The 25,734-nt window shown below is 35.6% G+C and overlaps 1 protein-coding gene across 7 annotated transcripts in view; it reads right to left on the bottom strand.

The window, feature by feature from the left end:
• The window catches only part of ABCD3 (ATP binding cassette subfamily D member 3), a 133,533-nt gene that overhangs the window by 43,193 nt on the left and 64,606 nt on the right, over positions 1-25,734 (bottom strand). For 4 of the 7 annotated variants that reach the window (XM_047426556.1, NM_002858.4, NM_001122674.2 and 1 more), the window contains exons 2-6: positions 16,828-16,864; positions 10,598-10,696; positions 7,464-7,552; positions 1,636-1,705; positions 231-328 (exon numbers count right to left, since the gene is read on the bottom strand). In XM_047426556.1, the coding sequence (XP_047282512.1) occupies positions 231-328; positions 1,636-1,705; positions 7,464-7,552; positions 10,598-10,624 (284 nt within the window). In that variant the 5' untranslated portion in view covers positions 10,625-10,696; positions 16,828-16,864. Of the gene's footprint in view, positions 1-230; positions 329-1,635; positions 1,706-7,463; positions 7,553-10,597; positions 10,697-16,827; positions 16,865-19,666; positions 19,739-25,734 lie in introns of all 7 variants that reach the window. The other 3 variants (XM_006710802.3, XM_047426546.1, XM_047426549.1) reach the window with 2 other exon arrangements.

Genomic DNA, 25,734 nt, shown 5'->3' with positions numbered 1-25,734 from the left:
ACTGATTTTTAGAGAGGAGGACACAAGTCCAGAAAATGATGACTTGTCAATTAATGGAAGAGCCAGGACTAGATTCCAAATAACTGAAAGGTTGTTCCCAACATGCTTCTGTACCTAAGAGTGGTTTTCTTAGAAAACATACAATAAATAAGAAAAACTGCTATATTGATCAGCTTCATAAATACTCTTCTATTTAAATATTTTTAATATAAAAATAGGTTATCACTTACTGAAGATACTCCTCATAGAGGTATTTAGTGAGCCTTACTCGGAAGCACAGTTTAAGCTCATTTAACCCATACTTCAAGAAGTTATTAACCAGAGAGATCTAAAACAAACAAACAAATATTATTGGTTTTGCTTTTCATTTCTGCTTACTAAACTATAATTTATTTCTCTATTATTTCCTGTGTCCCAAATCCTACAATTTTTATAATTTAGTCCAAATTTATATAATTCAGTTCTGTTTTACTTTACTGCATTTAGCTAAACCAAATGTACCTCGTTTGAATTATTCTATGTTAAAGTTTACATGGAATATGTTAATATCACTAATTACGCGACATACCTTGCCCATTTTTTTTGGTAAACGGGCAAAAAGTCAAATATATCCCCTTTCTAGCCAATGTAAAGACTTGCTTTTAGGAGTTCAGACATTTATATTTTCTGTTTCCTACTATCAGCACTACAACCCTAGACAACGGAATTCTATATACACTATATTTGCATTTGTTAAAAAAAAAAAACACTACAGGTTTTACACCAACTAATGCTATTTTCCAGATTATTTCTAGAGCCATCTTTACTAACATTTTCCATCGTTACATTACAAATTTTCTCAAGTGGTCTTTGCTGAATCTTAATCTTTGATATCTATGTTGCTTATTCCAATTGTTTATTTTAAAAAGTCTAAAAGCTATGTAGCCCCAGCTTCCAGCTTTATTAAACAAGAATTTCTGGCAATTTCAACATAACTGGATTTTACAACCAAGCTTCTCATTTTTACCCACAAATTCAGAATATTACATTCTTACAGCGCCAAGAAAATTAAAATGAGAACCAACCTAAGAAAATCACTTATATTTTAGACTAAACAATTTATCTGTAAAAAATTCAGACCATAAATTCCAATTTAACTTAAAGTAAATTAGTAGTTCAAGTTACTGTAATAGTTTATGGCCTAAAGTAACCAGGATGATTTGCATTCCCCCCTCTAAATCCCCCCAACTCCCCAAGTTGCCCCCTGCCCATACCCATTTTGCAATGACTGGAATCATTTCTGGTTGTTAGAACTAGGAGAAGGGTGCTACTGCTATCTAATGGTCATTGATGATGCTAAACACTGAAGAAAACCTGGACTGAAGGTTAAAAAAAAAATGCCAAAAAACCCCTCACCCACATACATATGTATATGAATATATATACACATTATAAATGAAATTAAACCAAACATAATCCCTTTTTTATCTAGTATGAAGGTTTACATTGAAAATTATATTATAAATTACAAAACTAAACTGAAAATAGGAACTTAGTATCATAAGTCTTTAAAGAATTTAATAAGTAAAACCCTTAAAGATTTTAATAAGATGCAAATTTCCCGTGTTAAAAAGATTTTTAATGAATTAAACTTACAAGAGGCATGGCAGCGATGAAGTTGAGTAAGTATCTCTTGAAATCTTTCCTGCTACGACCAATGATACCACTGCAAACCACCACATGCAATGCATTAGTTGCAAAAGAAGCAAAATCTAACACTAGGAAAACTTCTGTAAAGCTCTAAAATTACTCTTGGAAACTTCTATTAAATCAAAACAATCAATAAAAAAGATGCTAAAAACCACTTTTTTGCAAAAACATGTTTGCAACTTTAAAATGTCATCATTTTGAACTTGCTGGAACCTCATCCTGCAAATGGCAAAATTAAACAGAATGATAACTAATTATTTCTTAGTAAAAATGGCTGCTTTAAAAAAAGGCTTAAGTGGCTACAAAAGAAACTAAGCTAGCATAACAATTAACAACTTTATAGTCCCAGGAATGGGTTATTATGAATAAACAAAGTACCATTTGTTTGTTTTAAAATATTTTAATAATCTGATTCTCATTTGTGTGAACTAATGGCAGGGAGACAGACTTAATGGGGATCAGCAAAGGGTCAAGAGTAAATATTTTAGGCTTTGTGCACCCTAAGGGCTCCGCTGCAACTACTCAATTCTGCCACTGTAAAACAAAAGCAGCCAAGAAGTGTGGCTGTATTCTAATAAAACTTTACCAAAACAGATGGCAGGTAGTGAGATTTGACCTGTGGGTCCTAGTTTGCCAATACTGGGACTAACGCATAGATCAGAGCCCAGAATGGATCTACAGAAGCTTCATGTTCCTCAACACACTTCAGCTAGACTAGCTTCTCTTTTGCCTGTTGTTAATCTGTTTTACATATTTTTCTGCTTTTAAAATATACATTAAAAATTTTTAAAAAGGGTTCTAAAACTTTATTAAAAATTTGAACAAAGCAGTATTATATAAGTAAAGGATCTTTGAGTAAGATATGTCTATGACCTAATACAAAGATAGTATGTATTTGATCACAGAACTCTTACTTCAAGTAATACTTAATAATGTTCCCAAATTTCATAAGACATATTTATATAAAACATTTAAACACTGGACTAAGTGGTTTAAACCTAGCTGCCCACGCACACACAAAAATTACTAGTATATGACTAGAGAAATAATTTCTTTTCTGTGAGGGACTAGATGGATAAATTTGGGAAATCCTAGGTTAAACAAATCTAACAAATGTCTTTACCAAAGACCTTCTCAAAGCTTTTAATGTATAGTATGTGCATTTTAACTCTCTGAGAGGGGTTTGTAGCATGAAACATTTCCTCTATCATAGCCAAGATTCCACAGAACATACTTTGGGAAATGTTCCTTTAGACTGATTAAGAGAAATTAATACTCCAATGTTTATATAGCCCCTAAAAAGTAAAACAGTTAAAAAAAAAAAAAACGCTAACTACAAGAAAGTTAAATAGAACCACACAAAAATGTTGTTTATAGCAATAAGAATATTACAGACATTAAGCAATCAAGACAGTACAAAAGGTTCAGAGAATTTATGTTAAAATTGTTTGAACCAAACCTTACTTAAAACCAAAGTGCTTTAGTGCTGCCCAAGCTGTGAAACACACAAGAACATGCCATCATTCAGCAATGGTTTACCATTGGAGTAGCAGCTATAAATTTAAAAAATGGTTTCTTGAATAAAGCCTTATTTCTGCTTATTATTCCACTGCAAAAAAAATAATTAACAAAAAACAATTTTACAATAGCCCTAATCACTACAACTTCCAAATGTTTAAGAATCTTTATAAAAGAGAGTTTGGTAATTTTTAAATTCTGCTTGTAGCCAAATGGGTGAAAATAAAATATATTTTTATGATTAGATAAAGCAGCAACAAGGTATGAAGAATTTTCCTCCATGTCATGGAATTAGTATAGTTTCTACCTTAAAGAGGGTGTCTTTCCTATTAAGATTTGCCCATACTCCAAAGTCATTAGTCACCATCAACAAATAAGCTTAAAATATGAAAAGGATATTAAAATGAAGTACATTAAGGACCATAATAAGTCTCTTTGAGGCTTTCTTTAGCAGAAATACATGAATCTGGACTTACTTTAGAAAAGGCAAAAAGAGAAAATAAATAAATCAATTTGCACTGTAGCTTAAATACTGAGATGGAGATATATGTTAACTTTTCAAATAAAATTATCCTGTACGAATGTACAATATTTTAAAACTTTTTTTGAGATAAGGTCCAAATATTAAAGAATTTCATACACAGCAGAGGCTCAAAACTATTTAGGAGAAAGTTAACAACTTTAAAATGAGTGTTTTACAATTGGTGAATGTGGGTTAAGAATATAAGGAAGTTCCTTATGCTAATCTTTTTTTTTTTTTTTTTGTGAGACAGGATATCCCTAAGCTTAAGTGATCCTTCTGCTCAGCCTCCCGTGTAATTGAGACTGTAGGTATGTGCCACCACAGCCAGCTAACTTTTTTATATTTTGTAAAGACGAAGTCTCACTGTGTTGCCCAGGCTGGTCTTGAACTCTTGGCCTCAAGTGATCCTCTTGACTCAACTTCCCAAAGTGTTGGGATTACAGGTATGAGCCACCACACCCAGCCCCTTATTCTATTTTTCAACTTTTCTGTAAGTGTAAAGTATACCAAAATAATGGTTTTAAAAAATGGTTCAGAAACTCATACAAAAAATGAAAAACAATTTTTTAAAATTTCATAATTAAATTTTAAAACTGAGTACTACACACACGTGCACATGATTAGGGTCCCCCTACAAACACCCTTCAAGGGAGACCAGTTAACAAGCTCTCAACTCCAGCTTCTAGTAAGTGTTTAAGGCACTTACTTTTAAATATGAATTCACAGCCAAGAGTCACAGAATGCTTGAGGAAGGCCTCTAATGTGAATGACAACAGAATAACAAAAAATGCAGGGAGCTAAAAACACATTAAAAACTTAAATAGCTTCAGAGGTGAAAAAATACTGCATACTTAAAAGAATGATTGCTATAAAAATGAACATCCATATAGAAGATAACTTGGAAATAAAATTATAACAAATAAAAATTCACTGGATAATAAAGAAATTTCCTAGAAAATAAAATAAAATGGCAGAGACAAAAATAGAAGAGAAATTATAAGATAATCAGATCATCAGTCCAGAGGCTCCAACACTCAGCTAATAAGAATTCCAGAAAAAATGGAGGAATAATTTCTTTTTAAACACAAGAAAATTTCTCAAATGAAGAATAAGTTTCTAGATGGAAAAAGAGTTCACCTAGTGCCCAGCACAATGAACAAAAAAAAAAAATTCATACCAATGTTCAGTGAAATTTTCAAACATCCAGTAATACAACATCAACAATTTTTTAAAAAAAGATTGAGGGGGAGATTGAGGGAGGAACAAATCTCCAGCTATAGCTGAGCAATCGGAATGGCAAGAGGCCTCAATACCCACCCTGGAGCTGCACAACAGAATCCACTAGATGCTTCAAAAAGGTTTGATTAATTGAATCAGAATCTCTAGTGGTGGGGCCCAGACATTCATAATTCTTAAAATTCTCCAGATGATTCCAATCATTCTGCAGCCAAGGTTGAGACCCAGAACAGAGTGATGTTCTCAAAATTCTGAAGAAAAGTGAATTCCAACTTGGAATGCACAAACATAGCTAAATTATCAATCAAGTATGAGACTAGAAGAAAGACATTTTCAGATCTGCAAGGTCTCAAAAATTTATCTCCCTTCATCCTTACTCAGAAAAAGAGTGCATCTGCCAAAACGAGAAAGTAAACTGAGGAAGAGAAAAACAAAAAATCCAGAAACAGGTTATTTAATTCAGGATACAAAGATGAAAGAAATTCCCAAAATAATGATAAAAGCAAATTCAAACGTGATTGCTACTCAGTGGGCCTAAAATGCAACCAATCCTGATTAAAGCAAGAAGACCCAGCACTTTGGGAGGCCGAGGCGGGAGGACCACAAGGTCAGGAGGTCAAGACCATCCAGGCTAACACTGTGAAACCCTGTCTCTACTAAAAATACAAAAAATTAGCCAGGTGTGGTGGTGGCCACCTGTAGTCCCAGCTATTCAGGAGGCTGAGGCAGGAGAATGGCGTGAACCCAGGAGGCAGAGGTTGCAGTGAGCTGAGATCGCGCCGCTGCACTCCAGCCTGGGCAACAGAGCAAGACTCCATCTCAAAAAAAAAAAAAAAAAAAAGGCAAGAACACTGGAAACTACAAAACGTATAGGGCGGGGGTGGAAATAGAAAGATGAAGTTGATAGATTAGTTGGTGTCTGACCATATTACAATACTGAGAAGATTTCTCAGTATTGTCAAAAAGCTCAAACTGAATTAGGGGGAAGTAGGTTTAAAAAAAAAAAAAAAAAACTAATGTGCACAAATAACTGCCAATTTGTAAACACCAGGAAAAACAAAAAGTTGTATGGAAACGCAACTACCAAAGTATGCCATGTGGCTCAGCTGTAAGCAATAGTCAAAATCATGTAAACAATAAATTGTGATTTAACCAAAAATTATATAATTTTTATTATACATATAAAACATTGAGAAGATGAGCACGGAGGGAGTGTAAAAGAGCTAATTCTCACCTTCCAAAGTAGGAAATGAACACTTACACTCTTGAAACTGAGAAATCTATGAACAGTAATACAAGTATGCAATATGGAAACACAGACACAAAATAAGAGATGAAGCAGTAAAAAGAATAGGAAAAAAGACCGGCTCCACGTAATGACAGTTGTGAGTGAGAGGAGCCAAGGAATTCATGTGTTTTGTCATTAAGTCCTGCAGAACATCTGACATTAAGCTATGTTCATGTATTACTTTTAAAGTTACATTCATATATTACTTTGATTAAAATTAAAAGGCACAGGACTGACCACAGGTTTCAGGGAGACTTGGGTGGAATGTGAGGGCCTACATAATTTACCCATATTCAGAAGTATGTAATTCAAGGCTTTAATCCTTATACATACAAGATTTTTTACTGTCCTAGAGAAATGAGTCAGAGAGCATGGTCATAAAGCATTCTTCCTCTTCCTACAAATCTTTAAGAAGCAGATCAATAATCTAAGAGAAAAAAACCTTTATTCCAAAATGTTGGGGCATTTAACAATTTTAAGTACTGTCATTCAAAAAGTTATTTTAGATTAAATACTTTAAGGAATTTTCTGACAAAATACTGCATACCAGGAAATAAAATTCCTAGCAAAAATGTTTACTCTGACATTCTAATTGGTATTATGAAAAATAAATTCTTTATTAACAGATAAATGGTAAATTGTTATAACCCAAGATATCCCAACTGACATTTTTTACGTTTTTACATTCAAAATTAGCAATTGCAGTGATTAATAATATGTAGAAAGACTATAATGAAAAAATATAAAAAGCACTATCACCAGATGCAGAAAGAAATGTCTAAGAATTGTCTTCCCTTCTAATAAACATGCTCAACGTGATTCTTTGAAATGCTTTGAAATTTTCCTCCAAATTATCTCATTAATTTCAAAAATCCAACTTGGTGGTTTTTTAGAATTCCCATTACAGCACTTATTATGCTGCATTTTAATTTTCTGTCTACCTGTCTCTAACTCTTGATAAACTGTCAGCTCAGCAAGGCTTGGTACAGTTTCTCCTAGTTGCTGGCATATAGACCCCATCACAGTATAGCACATTGCCTGGCACATGGGAAACACTAAGTATTTTTTAAGTAAATGAACAAACACATAATTTGACTTGGGTTATCTTTTACCTAACTTAGAATCTATTTGTTGCTTATAAAGATAATGCATAAATATGAGACAAATTAGCATTTCATACATATAGGAGGAAGGTGATTGAAAAAGTACCTTTCAATTAGTGTCCCATTTTGAATCATCCAAACATCACAATATGTTCGAGACACCAGCATAACAGCAATAAGTACCAAGTAACCTGTCTAAAATAAACCAGGTATAGTAAATTAAATACATGCATTTTAGAAAGTTCAAAGAAATATTACCTTGGTAACAATTTTTGGTTTCCAAATCTAAAGCTTTATGTAAGTTTCAATATAGTTGGCTGACATTTTTTCTATAAGTAATTTTAAATATAGTTTAAAGGGAACGCAAGAATATTATATAAATGAAAAAAGCCTCATAGATTCATTTAATCTTTCTCATTCAGAATTCAAAAGTGAATCCTAGGCAGGTCAAAGGACTTGCCTTCATATACCTAGTCAAGGACAGAAGCTGGGAATGTAACTTAGATTACCTAGATCATAGTGTATTGTTGATTTTCTTATATTTTGACATATAACTTTAACAAAGAAAAATGACAGTAACTGCACATATACAGTTATACAACTAACCAAAATTGAAGCCTAAAATTTTGCCTAGGTAGAATAAATTTGGTTTAATTTGTTAGAAAAATTTATAATAGTGTCCATGCCCTCATAGGGCTTTCAATTTAGTTATGAAGGGAAGAGTTACACATAAAAAGTAGCAGACAAATTTAGGCAAACATATTTGTATCATTTCATGTCCTAAGCTGTGGGATGGGAAGGTTTGGGGTAGCAAAAGACAGTTATGGCATTAGAAATATGATAAACAGTAAAACAAAAAAGAGAATGAGGATTAAAGGTAAAAAAGATGAAGGATTTAATGGGGGAAAAAAGGGATTAAAATCATATGAACTATGGTACTGTACTGAGTTTACACACATAAAATTCTCGCAAGCTTCTCAGTAGAACAAAAAGTGATGTTAAAAAGTGATGTTTAAAGAATATTACTTAAGCAATGCTGTGCAAGACAGATTACGAAGCAGGGAAAGTCAAGATGCTGGGTGACTGGCTGGGAATCAGTTATCTTTCTGTGAGATGAGAATCCTGCCACCCCAACCCCAAGTACACATATTTAAAGCTGATCTTAAATTTTCTAAATTGGAACAATAAGACAGTGACATAGAAGTTAAAGTAAGGGAAGAAGGCCTGCAGAGGGTGGGAAGCTGGCCAAATTAGCCCCTTCTACCTCCCTTACTAATTCCCAGGGACTCATCCAATGTTTCAAATTTGTTTTACATTCATTGAACCCCTGCAATAGTTAAAATGAACATTAAGCTGTTAACTGATTGGAAGGTAACATATGCATCTTTCCAGAGAAGCTTGTATTTTAAATAAGGATTCTTCAAAGGCAGGACAATTAGTTATGCCTGAAGAGTCACTGGAAATATTCACAAAAAAGATAAGCATTAAGCAATTTTTAAAAACATATTTGTTTTTGTTGTGGGGACGTACAGGATGTCACAGACATGATGTTGTAAACAAATGAAAGGCTGAGGACATAGGGCCAGATCGTAAAACAATGATCTCCTAAGCAGATGGTATTAAAAGGAAGGCCAAAGTCAGGTTGTGATTTACCCTATAAGGAAAATGAAGTTACATGTTTTGATTAGGATTTTAAGAAAGAATACAAATTGGAAAAGGAAAAGAAGCAAAAAGACCAATTAAGATATAATAATCCAGGTAAGATATAGTGAGAACAGTAGGAATGTAAAGGGAGAGAATAATTTATAAGAAACTTTAGGATACTTAGAAAGAACATTTATAATATAAGGGAAGGAGCAGATCTTAAAAGTGTGTGATCCCATTTTTAAATTAAAATATATGCTTGCACACAGGATGACTATATATCAAAACGAGTAAGAGGCTGATAGGTGCCAAAAAATAAATCTAGCTGCATTTTCTAATTTTCTTCAAGGAACATGTATTACCTCTGTCTAATTAGGAAAAAACAAGTGTCATTACTTTTTTTAAAAAAAGAATTTCTCAAGGGCAGAATCATCAGGAGATGATGCCAAAGTGAGGGAAAGAGCAAATCCAGCATGATGAAGGAATGTACGTTTTCTTTGGGAACTGCAATGCTTTTGTAACAGTTAAGTATAGGAAAAATTAGCAGATCCCAGTGACCAAAAAGGGTGACAAGGGGAAGAGGAAGAGCTGAAGGTAATGATACTTCTAGTTACAGAATGAGAGAATGCTGAGGAAGATGGAGAATACGGCATTATTTTAATAATCATTAAAAATGTTTATCAAATAATGAAGATAATCTTGATAAAAAAGCAAAGGAACGAATTATACAACTATTCGTATAAGCAGCTCACTTCCTGAATGAAATAACTGATGAATCCAGATATCATTTTGCATATCTTAAAAATATTTAATCAAATATACTCCACACTAATGTGACTTGTTAACATCTCAATGTAATAAAAGGGTTTGTCTTTTGAAATTTAATCTAGTGTTTATCAACAGTATTTAACTATAACAAAGCAACACCATTTAGGGTAGCTGTATGGCAGTACCCTAGCATTTCACATAAAATAAAATGAAATAATACTTCAGAAACAAGAGAAAACTATTTAAAAACTGGCACTGAACAAGGTTTTTTGTATGACAGGTGATGATTTAAAGACAAAAATTTAGTAATCTTCTTGACCTACAGAGAAAACATTTGACCTATAGTATAACCAAAGTGTTATGATTTTACTGTTCTAATCTTACATAACCTTGAAAGTTGAACACTTAATAATTTAATTTGGGTATCTGTCTCCACCCAAATCTCATGTTGAAATGTAATCCCCAGTGTTGGAGGTGGGGCCTGGTGGGAGGTGTTTGGGTCATGGAGGCAGATCCCTCATGGCATGGTGCTGTCCTCCAGACAGTGAGTGAGTTCTCATGTATCTGGTTGTTTAAAAGTATGTGGCACCTCCTTGGCCCTTTGCTCCCTCTCTCACCATGTGAGACACTGGCTTCCCCCTTCACCTTCAGCTGTGATTGCCAGCTTCCTGAGGCCTCCCCGGAAGTGGAGGAGATGCTGTGCCATGCTTGTACAGCCTGCAGATCCAGGAGCCAATTAAATCTCTTTTCTTTATAAATTACCCAGCCTCAGGTATTTTATTAAAGAACGGCCCAATATACTTAAGATTATAATTTCATAAGACTTACCTCTTTACAAAATGTTCTAGGGACCATGATTTTCAGAATCTGTATGAGCCTTGAGAAAAACACCTTGTCCACCACAGCTCGCTCCTTTTTCCCCTCTTTCTGCATTAAAAAAAAGAAGCCCTTTTAAGATAGCTATAACAAACATATCATAAAATTAAAGAACCATGTTTCATCTAAGTCAACATAAACAGCTATCAAGATAAAAACTGAATTTACAAAACACAGACTTGCATACTTACACTGCTCCTCATATTCAAACATGTTTTTGAGAAAACAATGTTATCTAAAAACTGAATAAGGAAGTGAGTTCTGGAACCACACAATTATCTGGGTGAAGAAAACTGCAAGCAGAAGAAATAGCAACTGCAAAATACCAAGGTGAACACCTGCAACGTGCTTGAGGAAGAACAAAATGGCCAACCTGGCTGGAGCTGTGAGGAAGGTACCATCACAGAGGACGAGGTCAGAGAGACAGCTGAAAAAAGGTCAAGGGTTTACTGAGTTTTGTATTAGCCACTTCCTGATTAACACCATATTTAAAAAAAAAAAATCCTGAACAGAATTTTGCCTGATATTAAATAGAGGAAACTTTTGGATTCCTAGATTTACCATTTAACATTTCCAATATACAGTCTGTCAATTCACTCTCTCTTCCTCATAAAATTCAAAGACAGACAAGGTTCTTTCACTTATGCAGCTCACATTCTAGCGGGAGAAACATAGACAAAAAATAAACCAATAAATAAATTATTACAGACAGACTAGACAGGGTCATGAGGGGAAAAAAAAGAACAGTTCACACAGGATGGTCTGAAAAGTCTCTTGACATTTAAGCTTAGACATAAATAAAAAAAAGCCATGTGATTATTTAAAGTGGGTAGCAGAGGGGAGGGAGTGAAGCACAAGGAACAACGAGCACAAAAATACAGTGTTGGAAATAAAATCGGTGTGCACATTTCACAGCAAGATGGCAGTATTGCTGTAGCAAAGGGAACAAGAATGAGAGAAGTTTAAAAGGTAGGCAGGGCTTATAAAGGACAGAGCCTTGAAGCCACAGTAAAGATTGAGAGCTTACTGTGAGTGTAGAGGGATTTAAAAGAAGATAATCTTACCTCTCTCAAGAGTTTTTTCATTTTCACTAGCTCCATGAAAATGGAAGTACTAAACCATTTGCAAAGATAAGGAAACACGTGACGAGACTTACTACTCTTGGACTGTTTGGAAGGACAGGGGAAACTTCTTGGAAAAGGCAAGACACTCCAGAAAAACCCCAATTCCCTGACTAACCCTTTCCCCAACTCCATTATCACAGCTCACTTATCTGGCTAACTACTGTGCTCCTGACAAACAAATACCTGTTTGTATTAGTAGAGTAACGCTATTAGTTAGCTATAATGTAAATGTGCTTTGATTAAATAAATATCTAACTTGATGAGCCTTAAGTGAACTGTTTGGGTACTGAATTAGAATAATAATAACTACCAACTATGTGTCAGACACTGTGCTAAGGCTTTATAGACATAATCCTAAGAAATAAGCACTGAGTGCAGTGCAGAACTGTAGGCCAAAAAAGGAAGTCTGAAGGCACTGTGTTTATAGGGTTAGACTAGAAAGACTACAATAGGAGGAACTGGAAAAGAATCCACCTACCCTGCAACTGCTGGAACAGAGACTCAGCATTTCAGGTCTTTCAGACAAAGTTGCAAACCTCATCCTACTGAGTTACAGGCTCAGTCTACTTAATTCATACATGCTTACATTCATTCATTCAACAAACAACTACTTGATCCAAACCCTATTCCAAATGATAAGCACACAACAGCAAACAAAACAGACAAAAAGCCCCACTCACAGTCCAGTTAGTTGAACTAGCCTATTCTCCTCAAGCTAAACCTTACACATTCAACCTAATCTGTTTGTATTTTCCCCAAACCCAGAAAACATAGGAAGAAAAGAGTAAAGAAAAGGTGATACATATTAACTACCTTTTTAAAAAAAGAAGTTAAACTACTTGTTCTTCCTCCTATCGCCATCACCACTCCCTCCTCACTTCACCTTGCCTTACCTGTAGGCAACACCCTTCTCTATTGCTAGCTGGAACTTTAAGTGGCACAATCCTGAGGTGAAATGGACATCTGAGTTAAACAGAGGACCACCTGTTTCTAGCTACTCTAAAGAAATGATCTAAGACAAACAATGAGGAAAGTTAGAAAAAAAGAATTACAAGAGAGTAACGTTGAAACACTTTAAAATATTAGTTGCTAACTTGTATAAAATTCCTCCTCATTTTCTTCTGTTCCTATTGTCACTTTCCCTATCCTTAAACTGACTGAAACCTGATGGATTTTCATTACGTTTCAATCCATGAAAGGAACTAACTATATTCTTCCAAATTATCATTGTTTTCTGCAAAGGATCACCTGGACTGGGAGGCTGGCTCAGAAGGGCTGAATTCAAAGAGATGTCAGGAATCTTGATCACAGCAAAACTCTACCTGAAACCAATCTAAATAAGAGTAACTATAGAGGCAGTACATAATATTACTAGCCTTTCCTAAGAATTCATTTTAAATTCACAATGAACTTTTCCCACTTCCAAACTTTCCCAGTAATTTTTTTAAATACAAAAAAAGACCACTTTTCCCACTTCTAAACTTCCCAATAATTTTTTTAAATATAAAAAAAAGACCACTGTGGTGATATAAGTTTAACATGAACATTATAGAAAAAGCAAACAAATCATTAAAAGCTATTTGAGAAGTCGAAGTAATAATGCAACAAAGGAAAAAAGAAAACCTAAAATTCAAAAGGTAACAAAGGTCAAAGTACAATGAGAAGTTCCTATTGATACGTCAATCACCGTAGGTGAGACTGACTGAAAAAGATGTTTGAAATAGCAGTAAAATAAGAGGCCATGTAGTGCTGACAGAGTATAAGTATTCCTATACATTGTAGGGAAAAGTGAAAACTGGTACAACTATTATGTATCATTTATCAAAATGTAAAATGTACACTGACTGTAAAATGTAAAATAACCCAGTAAATTTACTTTCAGGAACTTACCCTACAAATATACCTGCACATATGCTTAGCCACACAAATAAAAACATCGTACTCGTTTATAATACCATAAAATTAAAAACAACCTGATGTACACCAATATTACATAAATCATAGCAAAATTATTCAATGAAAACTCTATACAACTGTAAAAAAGAAAGCAGCTCACATACACAGAAACAGAATATGAAAGAGCAGGTCTACAGCTTTAAACATGAAGTGACCTAAAAATTAGTATGCTGGAAAAAATTAGAATGATACATGCAATTCATTTTACACATGAATTTATGAAACTTTTAAATATGTAAAGTAATTCTAACTATATTGTTTATGGATACACACACATACACACACATGCCAAAATACAAAAATATGCATGGGAATGCTAAATACTGAACCCAGCACAGTACTTATCTTTATACATTTTGAATTTCATTATATTGTTCTCCAACTTTCTAATTAAATTCTTTTTTCCTCCTTAAAATTCACGTCTTATGAAAATTGCCTCTCCCCACCCTATCTCCATCACAAAGGATATAAAAAATTTCTACCAAAAAAATACGTTAAGTTGCTTTCCTCAAAAGTAACATATTCACTGTAGAAAAATTAGAAAATTCTGACGAGCAAAAATAAGAAAATTAAACCTACTGCCTTTGTTACATATCCTACTAGATTTCATTTTAGCACACGTGTGTACTTCCTATACATTTAACAAATGTGCTATCAGTGTGCATATTGTGTCCTTTTTATTGCCAATCACTTAATATAACCTAAATTTATCTTTCTCACACTATGCAACCAGCAAATAAGTATATGCTAAAATATTGTACAGAAAAATAAGAAAAAAATGAGTAAAATGAATCTAGCTGTCCTAGAACTTGCAGATATCCAATATGCAAATAAGAGATATGACTAAGTTCAGATAACTAACATTTGATTACTCAGATAGAACTTAGACATGAGAGATCACGGAGCTGGAGATATGCCAGAGAAGTGGACATAAGCACATCTTATCACATTTTTCAAAGACTAGGAAGGAAATATTACAGAGACTAAAGAACAACAATCTTGATGTCAATCACCAGGATATTCAGAGAACAGACACTGACATGGAGGGTTGGGGAAGACTTGAGAGACACTAATCACTAGAAGCCAGCATCAGTTTACTGAAAGTACGTCATGTTAAATTGTTCTAATTTTCTTATTTGTTAAGGATACCATAACTAGCATACTAGCTGATATGCAGAATGTAAGCTCCATGAGGGTGGAAACTTATTACTTACTGAAAGACTGACTTACTAAGTGAATTAATAAATTAATAAAGGAATTAGATGTTTCTTATAAAATTATTGTGGTCTCAATGGAGAAATAAGAACCAGATTTTGCTATAGTTGGATGTAGTCACAGCTGAATAACCAGAAACAAAGATTAAGAGATGTCACAGAGCAATCTCCTTGGTCCTTACATAGTCAATACTATCAGCAGTTCTGTGAAAGAAAGGAAAGGCAAATTAAATTTGTAGATAATTCTTCTACTTAACATACCAGATGTGAGAATTGCACTAAAAATTAGACTAATGGTATAGATAGTAGGTTAAACCCAATAAGCTGACATTTACCGCAATAAATTAATGTTTATCTAAAACAAAGCAACTGCGTTAACATATGACCCAGCAATTCCACTCCTAGATACACACCCAAGAGAAATAAAAACATATCTCTACATAAAAACTTGTGCACAAATTTTCATAGCAGCATTGTTATTATTCATAATAGCCAAAAAGTAGAAGCAACCTAAATGTCCACCAACTGATGAACTGATAAACATAATGTGGTATATGCATACAAAGAACACTATTCAGCAATAAAAAGGAATGCAATACTGATACAACAACATGATGAACCTTGAAAACATTGTGCTAAGTGAAAGAAGCTAGGCATAAAAAGCCACATATTATATGATTTCATTTATTTGAAATGTCCAGAACAGGTAAGTCAACAGGGACAGAAACAGATTTGTGGTTGCCAGGGATTGGGGGAAGAGGGTAATAAGGAATGACTGCTAATGAGTACAGGATTTTTTTGGAGAGATGAAAATTTCCTAAAACTAGGTAGTGGTGATAGCCACACAACTCTGTGACTACACTAACTACTCATTTATACACTTAAATGGATAAATTTTATGGTATATATATCTCAATAAATCTATCATGAATATAACATGTAGAGATATAGAGTTGTCAAAAATACACCTGAAGTTTATAATTTACCATAAATTCCACTTAATGTAAAAAATAGTTACGGTTAAAGAATTAAAAGCAATTTTAGGATGAATTTTAGCAATATTGTATTCATATCAAGAAATGTAATCATGCTGATATATTCCATGCTAGTCAGGCCATAACTGGACAACTACATTCCATTCTAAGCACAATGCCTAAGGAAACTAGTATAGGTCCAAAGGAATGTATACAGAACTGAAAAAGGATCAGAACCCATGTCACATGAGACATATTAGAAGGAATCAAGATTGCTTAGCACAGGAAAAGAAAGACTCGTAAGATACAACTATCTTCAAATATATGTGGGTGTACTAGAGAAAACAGAGCCAGGCAAGGTGGCTCACATCTACAGTCCCAGCTACTTCAGGCTGAGGTAGGAGGATCCTTAGAGCTCAGGAGGTCAAGGTTACAGTGAGCTATGATCATGCCACTGCACTCCAGCCTGGATGACAGAATGAGACCTGGTTGGTAAAAAGAAAATTTTGAAGAAAAGAGAAGAAAAGAAAAAAGAGGGAAGGGGAGGGGAGGGGACAGGAAGGGAGAAAAGGAGAGGGGAGGTGGAGGAGGGGAGGGAAGCGGGGAGGGGAAGGGAGGGGGGACAAGATATATCTCGATACAAAAGATATAACAGAGTCACTGCTAAGAAGCTAGAAGAGGGGGGGAAACTAATATCATCATGGGCTAGAACTAATGCAGTTAATGCTGCCTCCTAGAGTAACACTTTCCTGTCAGGAGTCCTATTTCAGAGAGTATTCCTGTAATGTGTAGAAGACTGGAGTATTTTTAAGTTCCCTACTAATTATAAAATTTAATCCTAAATCAGAATCATATGACAAAATAAATGAAATAAATGCATGAAATCCCAAAAAGAAGATGATTTAAACTTTTACCTCATTGTTCTGTAATGGTGGTTTTCCACTTTTCTTACTGCAGAGGAAAAAAAGAGAGAGAGAGCTTTACTTTATGTGAAAAGTGTTATCATTAAGATGATTTTAAGATGTCAAATATACCAAATTATTTAAAAGCGTTTCTTCTTTTTCACATCATAGTGAGATAGAACATATTAAATAATAATAGTCCACCTGACTCTTACTAGGCATTATTTACAAAAAGTGCTTAATAAATTTTAACTACCACTATTATGTAACAGACATTCTGTTTGGTAATTTTTAGGTGTGTGTATGTGTGTGTATAAATACAAACATAAATGCAAGTCTACTTCTTCATCCTTGAATCATAGCTTGGCCATGTAAACCGCTTTGGCCAATGGGACATCAGCAAACTGACACAAACAGAGGCTTGGAAAATGTGCATTGCTCCCTCTTACTGCTGGGAATCTTTCCCCAACCATGTGAGCAATCCTAGGCTAGTCTTCTAAAGGATGACAGAACATGTGTCATTCCCATATTACAAATGAGGAAAGTGGCCTGGAGAGAGTAAGCAGTATGCCCAAGGTTCATATTCTGACTACTAGTCTAGGCTACCTCCCAAAACAATATAATTAGCTGGGCATCGGTCCTTTCCATAACGCACTACCATGGCACCCTATGCTTCTACATAACATTGATCACGTTTTAAATTTCTTGTTGGATGTATATTCCCTTCCATTAAACTAGTTCCATGCTATCAGGAGCTACTGCAGGCTGGTTTCTCTGAAGCTGAGGTAATATGGTGTCTGGGGTACAAATGTTCATCAGGGATCAACACCTGTGAATGGAAGGCAGAGAAATCAGGTTTGGACAGAACTCAAACTGATGCAAGCCCAAAATAACTTCAGCCAACCATATAGGAAATTCTAAAGCAAGCACTGTCCATCAGAGTGCTCTCTGATGGGCTGAAATGGTCAGGCCTTTTTTACCTCCGCCTTGCTCAGTCTGCAAATGCATGCTGCCCCAGGAAGTCTGTGACATGAGGAGAGGGGAGTGTCTCTAGAGCTGAGCCAGACTCTAAGGTGGGGGACAAAGGCGGGGAAAGAGGGGGCTGTCAGGATTTCACATTTCTCACAGCTGGGCAGGAAACCCTTCTTTAAAGGGGAATCTGAGTCTACTACAGGGGTCATACATTATTCAACCCTCTATGTTCAACATCTGTTTGAACTCCGATGATCTGCCGAATGCACATCTTCAGTAGTAAGATACCAGGACACCAAACAAGACTAAAAAGCCAAACTTAACTACAATAGATGCGCTTATTTTAAAAAGCACGTAGATTATTATTATTTCTAATTTCAGTTGTATTATACGATATTTTAAATATGATTATTTATATGTTTAAAATCTTTTATGAATTGTAAAACTGTTATACAAAATGCATTTTAGCACGACAAAACAATGCAGTGAAGAGATAAACTATGGGAGAAAATATTTGCAACCATACACCTGATTAGGGGTTAATATCCAAAATATATAAGGAACTCAAACAACTCAATAGCAAGACAACAATCCAATTTTAAAAAACGAGCAAAGGACCCAAATAGACATTTCTCAAAAGACATATAAATGGCTGGCTAGTATGTGAAAAAATGCTCAGCATCACTAATCATCAGAAAAATGCAAATCAAAACCACAATGGGATAATACTCATACTTCTTAGGATGACTATTATCAAAAAGATAAAAGATAACTGTTGGCAAGGACGTGGAGAAAAGAGAACACTTGAACATTGTTGGTTGAGAAGAATATAAATTAGTACAACCATTATGGAAAACAGTATGGAGGTTCCTCAAAAAATTAAAACATAACTACCATATGATCCAGCATTCCCACTTCTGGGTATAGATCCTAAGGAAATGAAATCAGTATCTCAAAGAGGTATCTGCACTCTCACGTTCCCTGCAGCATTATTCATAACAGTAAGAGATATGGAATCAACCTAAATGTCCATCGAGAGATCAATGGATAAAGAATATGTGGTATATAAATACAATGGAATAAATTCAGCTTAAAAAAAAAAAAGGAGCTAAGTGTGGCAGCTCAGGCCTGTAATCCTAGCACTTTGGAAGCCCGAGGCGGGAGGACTGACTGAGCTCAGGAGTTCAAGACCAGCCTGGGCAACACGGTGAAACTCTGTCTCTACTAAAATAAAAAAAAAAATAGTCCAGTGTGGAGGCATGCACCTGTAGTCCCAGCTACTTGGGAGGCTAAGGCAGGAGAACTGGCTTGAACCTGGGAGGCAGAGGTTGCAGCAAGCTGAGATTGTGCCACTGCACTCCAGCCTGGGCGACAGAGCAAGACTCCGTCTCCAAAAAAAAAAAAAAAAAAAAAAAAAAAAAAAAAAAATTCTGTCATTTGCAACAACATGGATGAACCGGGGGACATTATACTAAATGAAATAAGCCAGGCCCAAAAAGACAAATTCTGCATAATCTCACTTACATGTGGAATCTAAAAAAGTCAAACTCATAGAAGCAGAGAATAGAATGGTGGTTGTCAGGGGCTCAGGGGTTGGGGGAAATGGGGAAAAGTTGGTCAAAAGGTACAAAGTTCAGTCACGCAAGATGAATAAGTTCTGGAGATCTAATGTACAGGATGGTGACTATAGCTTGATAATAGTAATCATTTCACAATGTATATGTATATCAACATAAAAATAAAAAAATTAGTATTCAATAAAAATGCCACACTGCTTACCACTAATAAATGTTATAAATTGATACTTAGAGATAAATGGAGATTCATGCAGTACGATGCTCACAAAAATATATATATACACATGTACACACACACCTACCAATGAGTCACATGATCAGTCAGCTCTCCCATCACTTCATCACTTTTCTCTCTCCAAGTTTCCATGAAATACCTTGTTCAGAGGGAACCATGACATCTTATAAAGCTTCAATTGGCCTGAACACATAATCTACATATAAGTCCTATTTTCTTTAATCAGTCTGTGACAATTAAAATTTCTTGCCAGGTGCAGTGGCTTACATCTATAATCCCAGCACTTTGGGAGGTTAAGGTGGGAGGATCACCTGAAGTCGGGAGTTTGAGACCAGCCTGACTGACATGGAGAAACCCCGTCTCTACTAAAAATACAAAATTAGCCGGGCGTGATGGTGCATGCCTGTAATCCCAGCTACTCAGGAGGCTGAGGCAGAAGAATCACTTGAACCCAGGAGGCGGAGGTTGTGGTGAGCCAAGATCGTGCCATCGCACTCCAGCCTGGGCAATAAGAGCAAAACTCGGTCTCAAAAAAAAAAAAAAAAATTCATTTATAAGTTTCTTAAAAACTTCTTTATGAGATTTGTTTCTCAGGAAGTTCTATGAAAATAGCTTTCACCTGAAATTATCACTATAAAAGATATTTTTAATGGCAAAACAATTCAGTATGAGTACAGAAGTTGAAGATGATTTTCTTGACTTTACATTAATACACATTAACCTGATATAAGTTCCAATACAGCAGATTTATCATACATGTGGGCTCTAGATGATCACTTAGCAACCATTTAAACACAATACTGGCACTAAAATCTGTATAGCATGGTAGTCATTCAGATAACCCAGAATATGCTTATATTAATTTATTTTTAATTTATCATCAAAATGAAAACAAAATTAGTTCTATAAAGAAAGTTCTAGGCCAGGTGTGGTGGCTCACGCCTGTAATCCCAGCATCTTGGGAGGCCAAGGCTAGTGGATCGCTTGAGGTCAGGAGTTTGAGACCAGCCTGGCCAACATGGCAAAACCCTGTCTCTACTAAAAATATAAAAATTAGCTGGGCATGGTGGTGTACATCTGTAATCCCAGCTACTCGGGAGGCTGAGGCAGAAGAATGGCTTGAACCCTGGAGGCAGAGGTTGCAGTGGGCCAAGATTGCACCACTGCACTCCAGCTTGGGTGACAGACCAAGACTTCATCTTAAAAAGAAAAAGAAAGTAAGTTCTATAAGAATTTAGACCCTGAGTAATGCATCTTTAGACCTACTATCTCTAGGTCAAAGAGATACTATCCTAGACCACCTCAGTCAAACCACAAAATCAACTATCTACCCTTTCTCTGACCCCCTCCCTCAAAATCTCTAGCTTCCTCCTCTTTCCCGAGCCCCTGACTTGAATATCTGATTTTTAATAAGGTATCTGTACCAGGATTTAATGCAAACATGTCTATATCTGAACTCACCTTTCCACCCCAAATCTATTCTTCCATTATTCCATACTGAACATAAGCCCTAAATCAGTGATCACACCTTCATCTACCAGCTACTCAAACCACAAAGCTGCGAATTATTCTAAGATATTTATTTTCCTTTTCTCATACACTTCATTTCCAATCTCTCTCTATGCTCTTTCCATTTCTACTGCTATGATTTCAATTCAGGCCATCAAAATTTCTCATGTGAACTATTATAATATTCTCACTTGTTTTCTGAGTTCGTTATCATTAGTTTCTGTCCTCTTTCAATTTATTTCCATAACCACATCAAATACGTGTATATGTATATACATACTGAATATACCCAAGTACATACACATATGCATGCCCATACATATATATATAGACCACATACATCTATATAAAATATATATCCTGTGGAATTCACCTAAAGCAATGCTCAGAACCTTATTTCAATAAAAAATGAAAAAAAAAAAGATTAATAATACAAGCATCCAACCAAAAGTTTACAAAGAACAAAAAAAAGCAGAAGAAATTTAAAACCACCCAAGCAGAATCTAATGAGTTAGAAAACAAAATACTAATACATTAAAATTCAAGAGTTGATTCTTTGGAAAATAAATCACGAGACAATCTGATTTTAAAAGGAGTACAAAAACACAAAAAATAAAAAAAATGAGCACAAAAATAGATAAAATTTGAAAAAAAAAAAGGTAAAAGACTTCTTATCTCAACTCTATGTAAAGAAATTTGAAAGCCTGAATGAAATGGTTAATTTTCTAGAAAAATATAATTTTCCGGCTGGGCGCGGTGGCTCACGCCTGTAATCCCAGCACTTTGGGAGGCCGAGGTGGGCGGATCACGAGGTCAGGAGATCGAGACCATCCTGGCTAACAAGGTGAAACCCCATCTCTACTAAAAATACAAAAAATTAGCCAGGCGAGGTGGCGGGCACCTGTAGTCCCAGCTACTCAAAAGGCTGAGGCAGGAGAATGGCGTGAACCCGGGAGGCGGAGCCTGCAGTGAGCCGAGATCGCGCCACTGCACTCCAACCTGGGCGACAGCGAGACTCCATCTCAAAAAAAAAAAAAAAGAAAAATATAATTTTCCAAACCTAGCAGAGAGAAGAAAAAACAGACTGAAAAACTGAAATTATAAAGTTGTCTGAGAGCTGCCCACCTCCTACCCTTCTATTCCCCAAAAAAGAACCAAACCAAACGATTTACCGGGGAGTTCTAACAAAACCCCCAGTGAACAGATAATTCCAATGCTTTAACTGTTTTAGGACACAGGTAAAAGAAGCTTCCACATTATTTTTGCTGCAAGTAAAACACTGACACCCAAACTTGGGCGGGCTCACACCTGCACTTTGGAAGGCCGAGCACTTTGGAAGGCCAGACGGGTGGATCCCAGTGCTTTGGAAGGCAGAGGCGGGCGGATCACTTGAGGCCAGGAGTTCAAGAACAGCCTGGCCAACATGGTGAAACCCTGTCTCTATTAAAAATACAAAAATTAGCTGGGCGTGGTGGTGCATGCCTGTAGTCCCAGCTAACTTGGGAGGCTGAGGCATGAGAATCACTTGAACCTGGGAGGCGGAAGTTGCGGTGAGCTGAGATTGTGCCACTGCACTCCAGCCTGGGAAACAGAGCAAGGCTCTGTCTCCAAAAACAAACAAACAAACAAACAAAAAAAAACAAAAAAAACCATTGACACCAAAATCAAATTCCACAAAGAAAACTACAAACTATTCCCACTTACACCAACATTTTTTTAAAATTTCAGACCATGCGAATGTACTGCCTATTCAAAAATTAGATAAATACCTTATCATTAAAATTTAAAAATAAATATGTACATAATGACTTTCAGAATAAAATCCAAATTCCATAAAATGGTACTCAAAGAACTTCATGATCTGGCTCCTGCCTTCTTTTCAGGTTCATCTCCTGCCACGAGGCACACTCTGTGCTCAAGTTACCTTCATCTATCAGGTTAAACTATGTGAAACTGAATTATTTGACCATTTCTCACTTATAAAATGGCAACTGCACATGCTTCAACCTAATACTGCGCTCTCTCTCACCCCACTATTTGCTCATATACTATCTCTTTTGCTTTAAAGGACTCTTCATCAATCAACTTATTTGATTACTACTCGTCTTTAAAATTCAGCACTTATCTTCCTGGAATGGAGTGGCCATCTGAATTAAGTTTGCCCAGAATGGTCCTTGTTTACATCTGTTGTCCTGATATAATAATTAATTGCACTCTTTCAGTCTCAAAACTGTACCAGTTAGGATAATAAATTACATGGTGACCCTGTCTAAGAAACCTTGACCTCAGTGATTAGAATGTATTAGGCACCCAAGGATTATCCCAAGATCAGAGATGATGAATGCCTGAACAAAGACAGTGGGTATGAGAGTGGAAGAAAGAAGCATGAAAATTACTAGAAATGACAAGTAAGGGAATAAATAAGAGTTGGGAACTAACTGCATATGGAAATGAGAGGGAGAGAAGACCACAAACTTAAGACAGAGGAAGTATTAGCAGCTATCAACTCCAAACTGATATCTCAAATGGCAAAGTATTTTTCTCCAAGTCTCAAAGGCAGATTGCACCCTGGGTGACTGGAGGACAGTGATTTCACTGACTACAATAAAGAATAACAGTAAAACAAGCATTCAGAGAAACAGTAATTGGATTCACTATAAACATGTTGATTTCACATCCCGTAAGCTAAGTATACGGAAATGTTCAGAAGACAATTTTTTAAAATGCTTAGATTTGAAGTTCATGAGCAGAGATGTTGATTTGAAAGACATTAACATGACAATGACTTGGAAATACAGTGATATAAATCCTTTGGGAAACAAAAATATAAAATCTGAAACGTGAGTGTTGTTTTTGTTTATTAAGATGCTGTTCTAAAAAATTTAGAATGTGTTCTCAAGGAACTTGGTTTAAGTTGTTCCCTGACTGACAATGCTCCTGGGTAAAGAAGCAAACTTTGCTCTTAAAAGTAAAGTATGTTTATTATAAGCCTCAAAATTATTCTGACAAGTAATTTTAAATAAAATCTCCAGACCGTAATAAAAAATTATCAAGCACTAAGGAAATTAGACTCCATAACCAAGGACCAGCAGAAATTACAGAAAACAAAAACAAACCCAAGATTTCAGTTGGCATTTCCAGAGTCATCCTATAAAACAATGTAAACTGTATTTTTTTAAACACACACACAAAAATTTTTAAGATACCTAACAAGAAGTAGGTACCAAGAAGTAGATACCTACCAAGAAGATACCTACCAAAAAGTAACATTGATCTGAGAAAACCAAATGAAATTTCTAAAAATAAAATATACAACTGAAGTTAAACATATAATCAATAGGTTTAAGAGATTTCACATGGCTAAGAAAAAGTTACACCACAACAAATGCTCATAAATTAGGAGAAAAGTCAATGAAGGTAGTATTCTAAAGTATTTTTACTATCTGGGAGGATGATAAAGTATTACCGATTGATGTTTAGACTTGAAAAAAGTGAAACCCATGTTAAAAGTTCTAGGGTAACTTGTAAAAGAAAAAAGAGAATAACTTCTAAACTACTAGAAGGGGTAAAAATTGCCGAGATTAGCTCAGTCGTGGAGACCCTAACCCAGCGGCACTAGAGGAATTAAAGACACACACACACAGAAATATAGAGTGTGGAGTGGGAAATCAGGGGTCTCACAGCCTTCAGAGCTGAGAGCCCCAAACAGAGATTTACCCACATATTTATTGACAGCAAGCCAGTGATAAGCATTGTTTCTATAGATTAACTAAAAGCATTTCTTACGGGAAATAAAGGGATGGGTCTGGCTAGTTATCTGCAGCAGGAACATGTCCTTAAGGCACAGATCGCTCATGCTATTGTTTGTGGTTTAAGAAAGCCTTAAGCGGTTTTCCGCCCTGGGTGGGCCAGGTGTTCCTTGCCCTCATTCCGGTAAACCCACAACCTTCAGCATGGGCATCATGGCCATCAGGAACATGTCACAGTACTGCAGAGATTTTGTTTATGGCCAGTTTTGGGGCCAGTTTATGGCCAGATTTGGGGGGCCTGTTCCCAACATGTCCCCCTTATTTGTTTTGCAAAGTAATAAAAGCAAAGGCGGCTTTGTCACAGTGAGCTACTTCTCGCAGGAGTTGGAATCCACATCTGCAGACTATACAAAGACAAACAACACAGATTAAAAGCATAATCATCAGTGAAATCACAGATCGTCCAAGTGTTTTTAATCCATTTTAATGGGTTACTAGCTGCTAATCTGTCTGCAGCTCCTTCAAGCACTCCAGTTCCTGGCATTAAGGTCAGGTGTGCCTGGGTTGCTTTAAATATCTGTTCTTTTAATTTTGCAGTATCCAAAGACAAGTTTGTAGAGTGTCCTTCTAGATGCTTTTTATTCTTTCCCAAATTTTGATCTTGTTAACAGCCATTAATAGTTTCCACAAATCCTTATGTTTAGCTCCCACAGCGGGCCATATCATTTGAGGTTGAGGTGCCACCATACCGCCATGTTTCCAGATAATAGGAACTCTTGCCATACTTCTTACCATTTCTACCATCTGACCATTTTGTTCAGACCAGCTGAACATAAGTGTGGCTGTGGCACGCAGACTGAGAGATGCAATTCAAGCT

The sequence above is a fragment of the Homo sapiens genome, chromosome 1, assembly GCF_000001405.40.
Source record: "Homo sapiens chromosome 1, GRCh38.p14 Primary Assembly".
NCBI lineage: Eukaryota > Metazoa > Chordata > Mammalia > Primates > Hominidae > Homo > Homo sapiens.
This window is presented reverse-complemented; position numbering and strand designations above follow the sequence as displayed.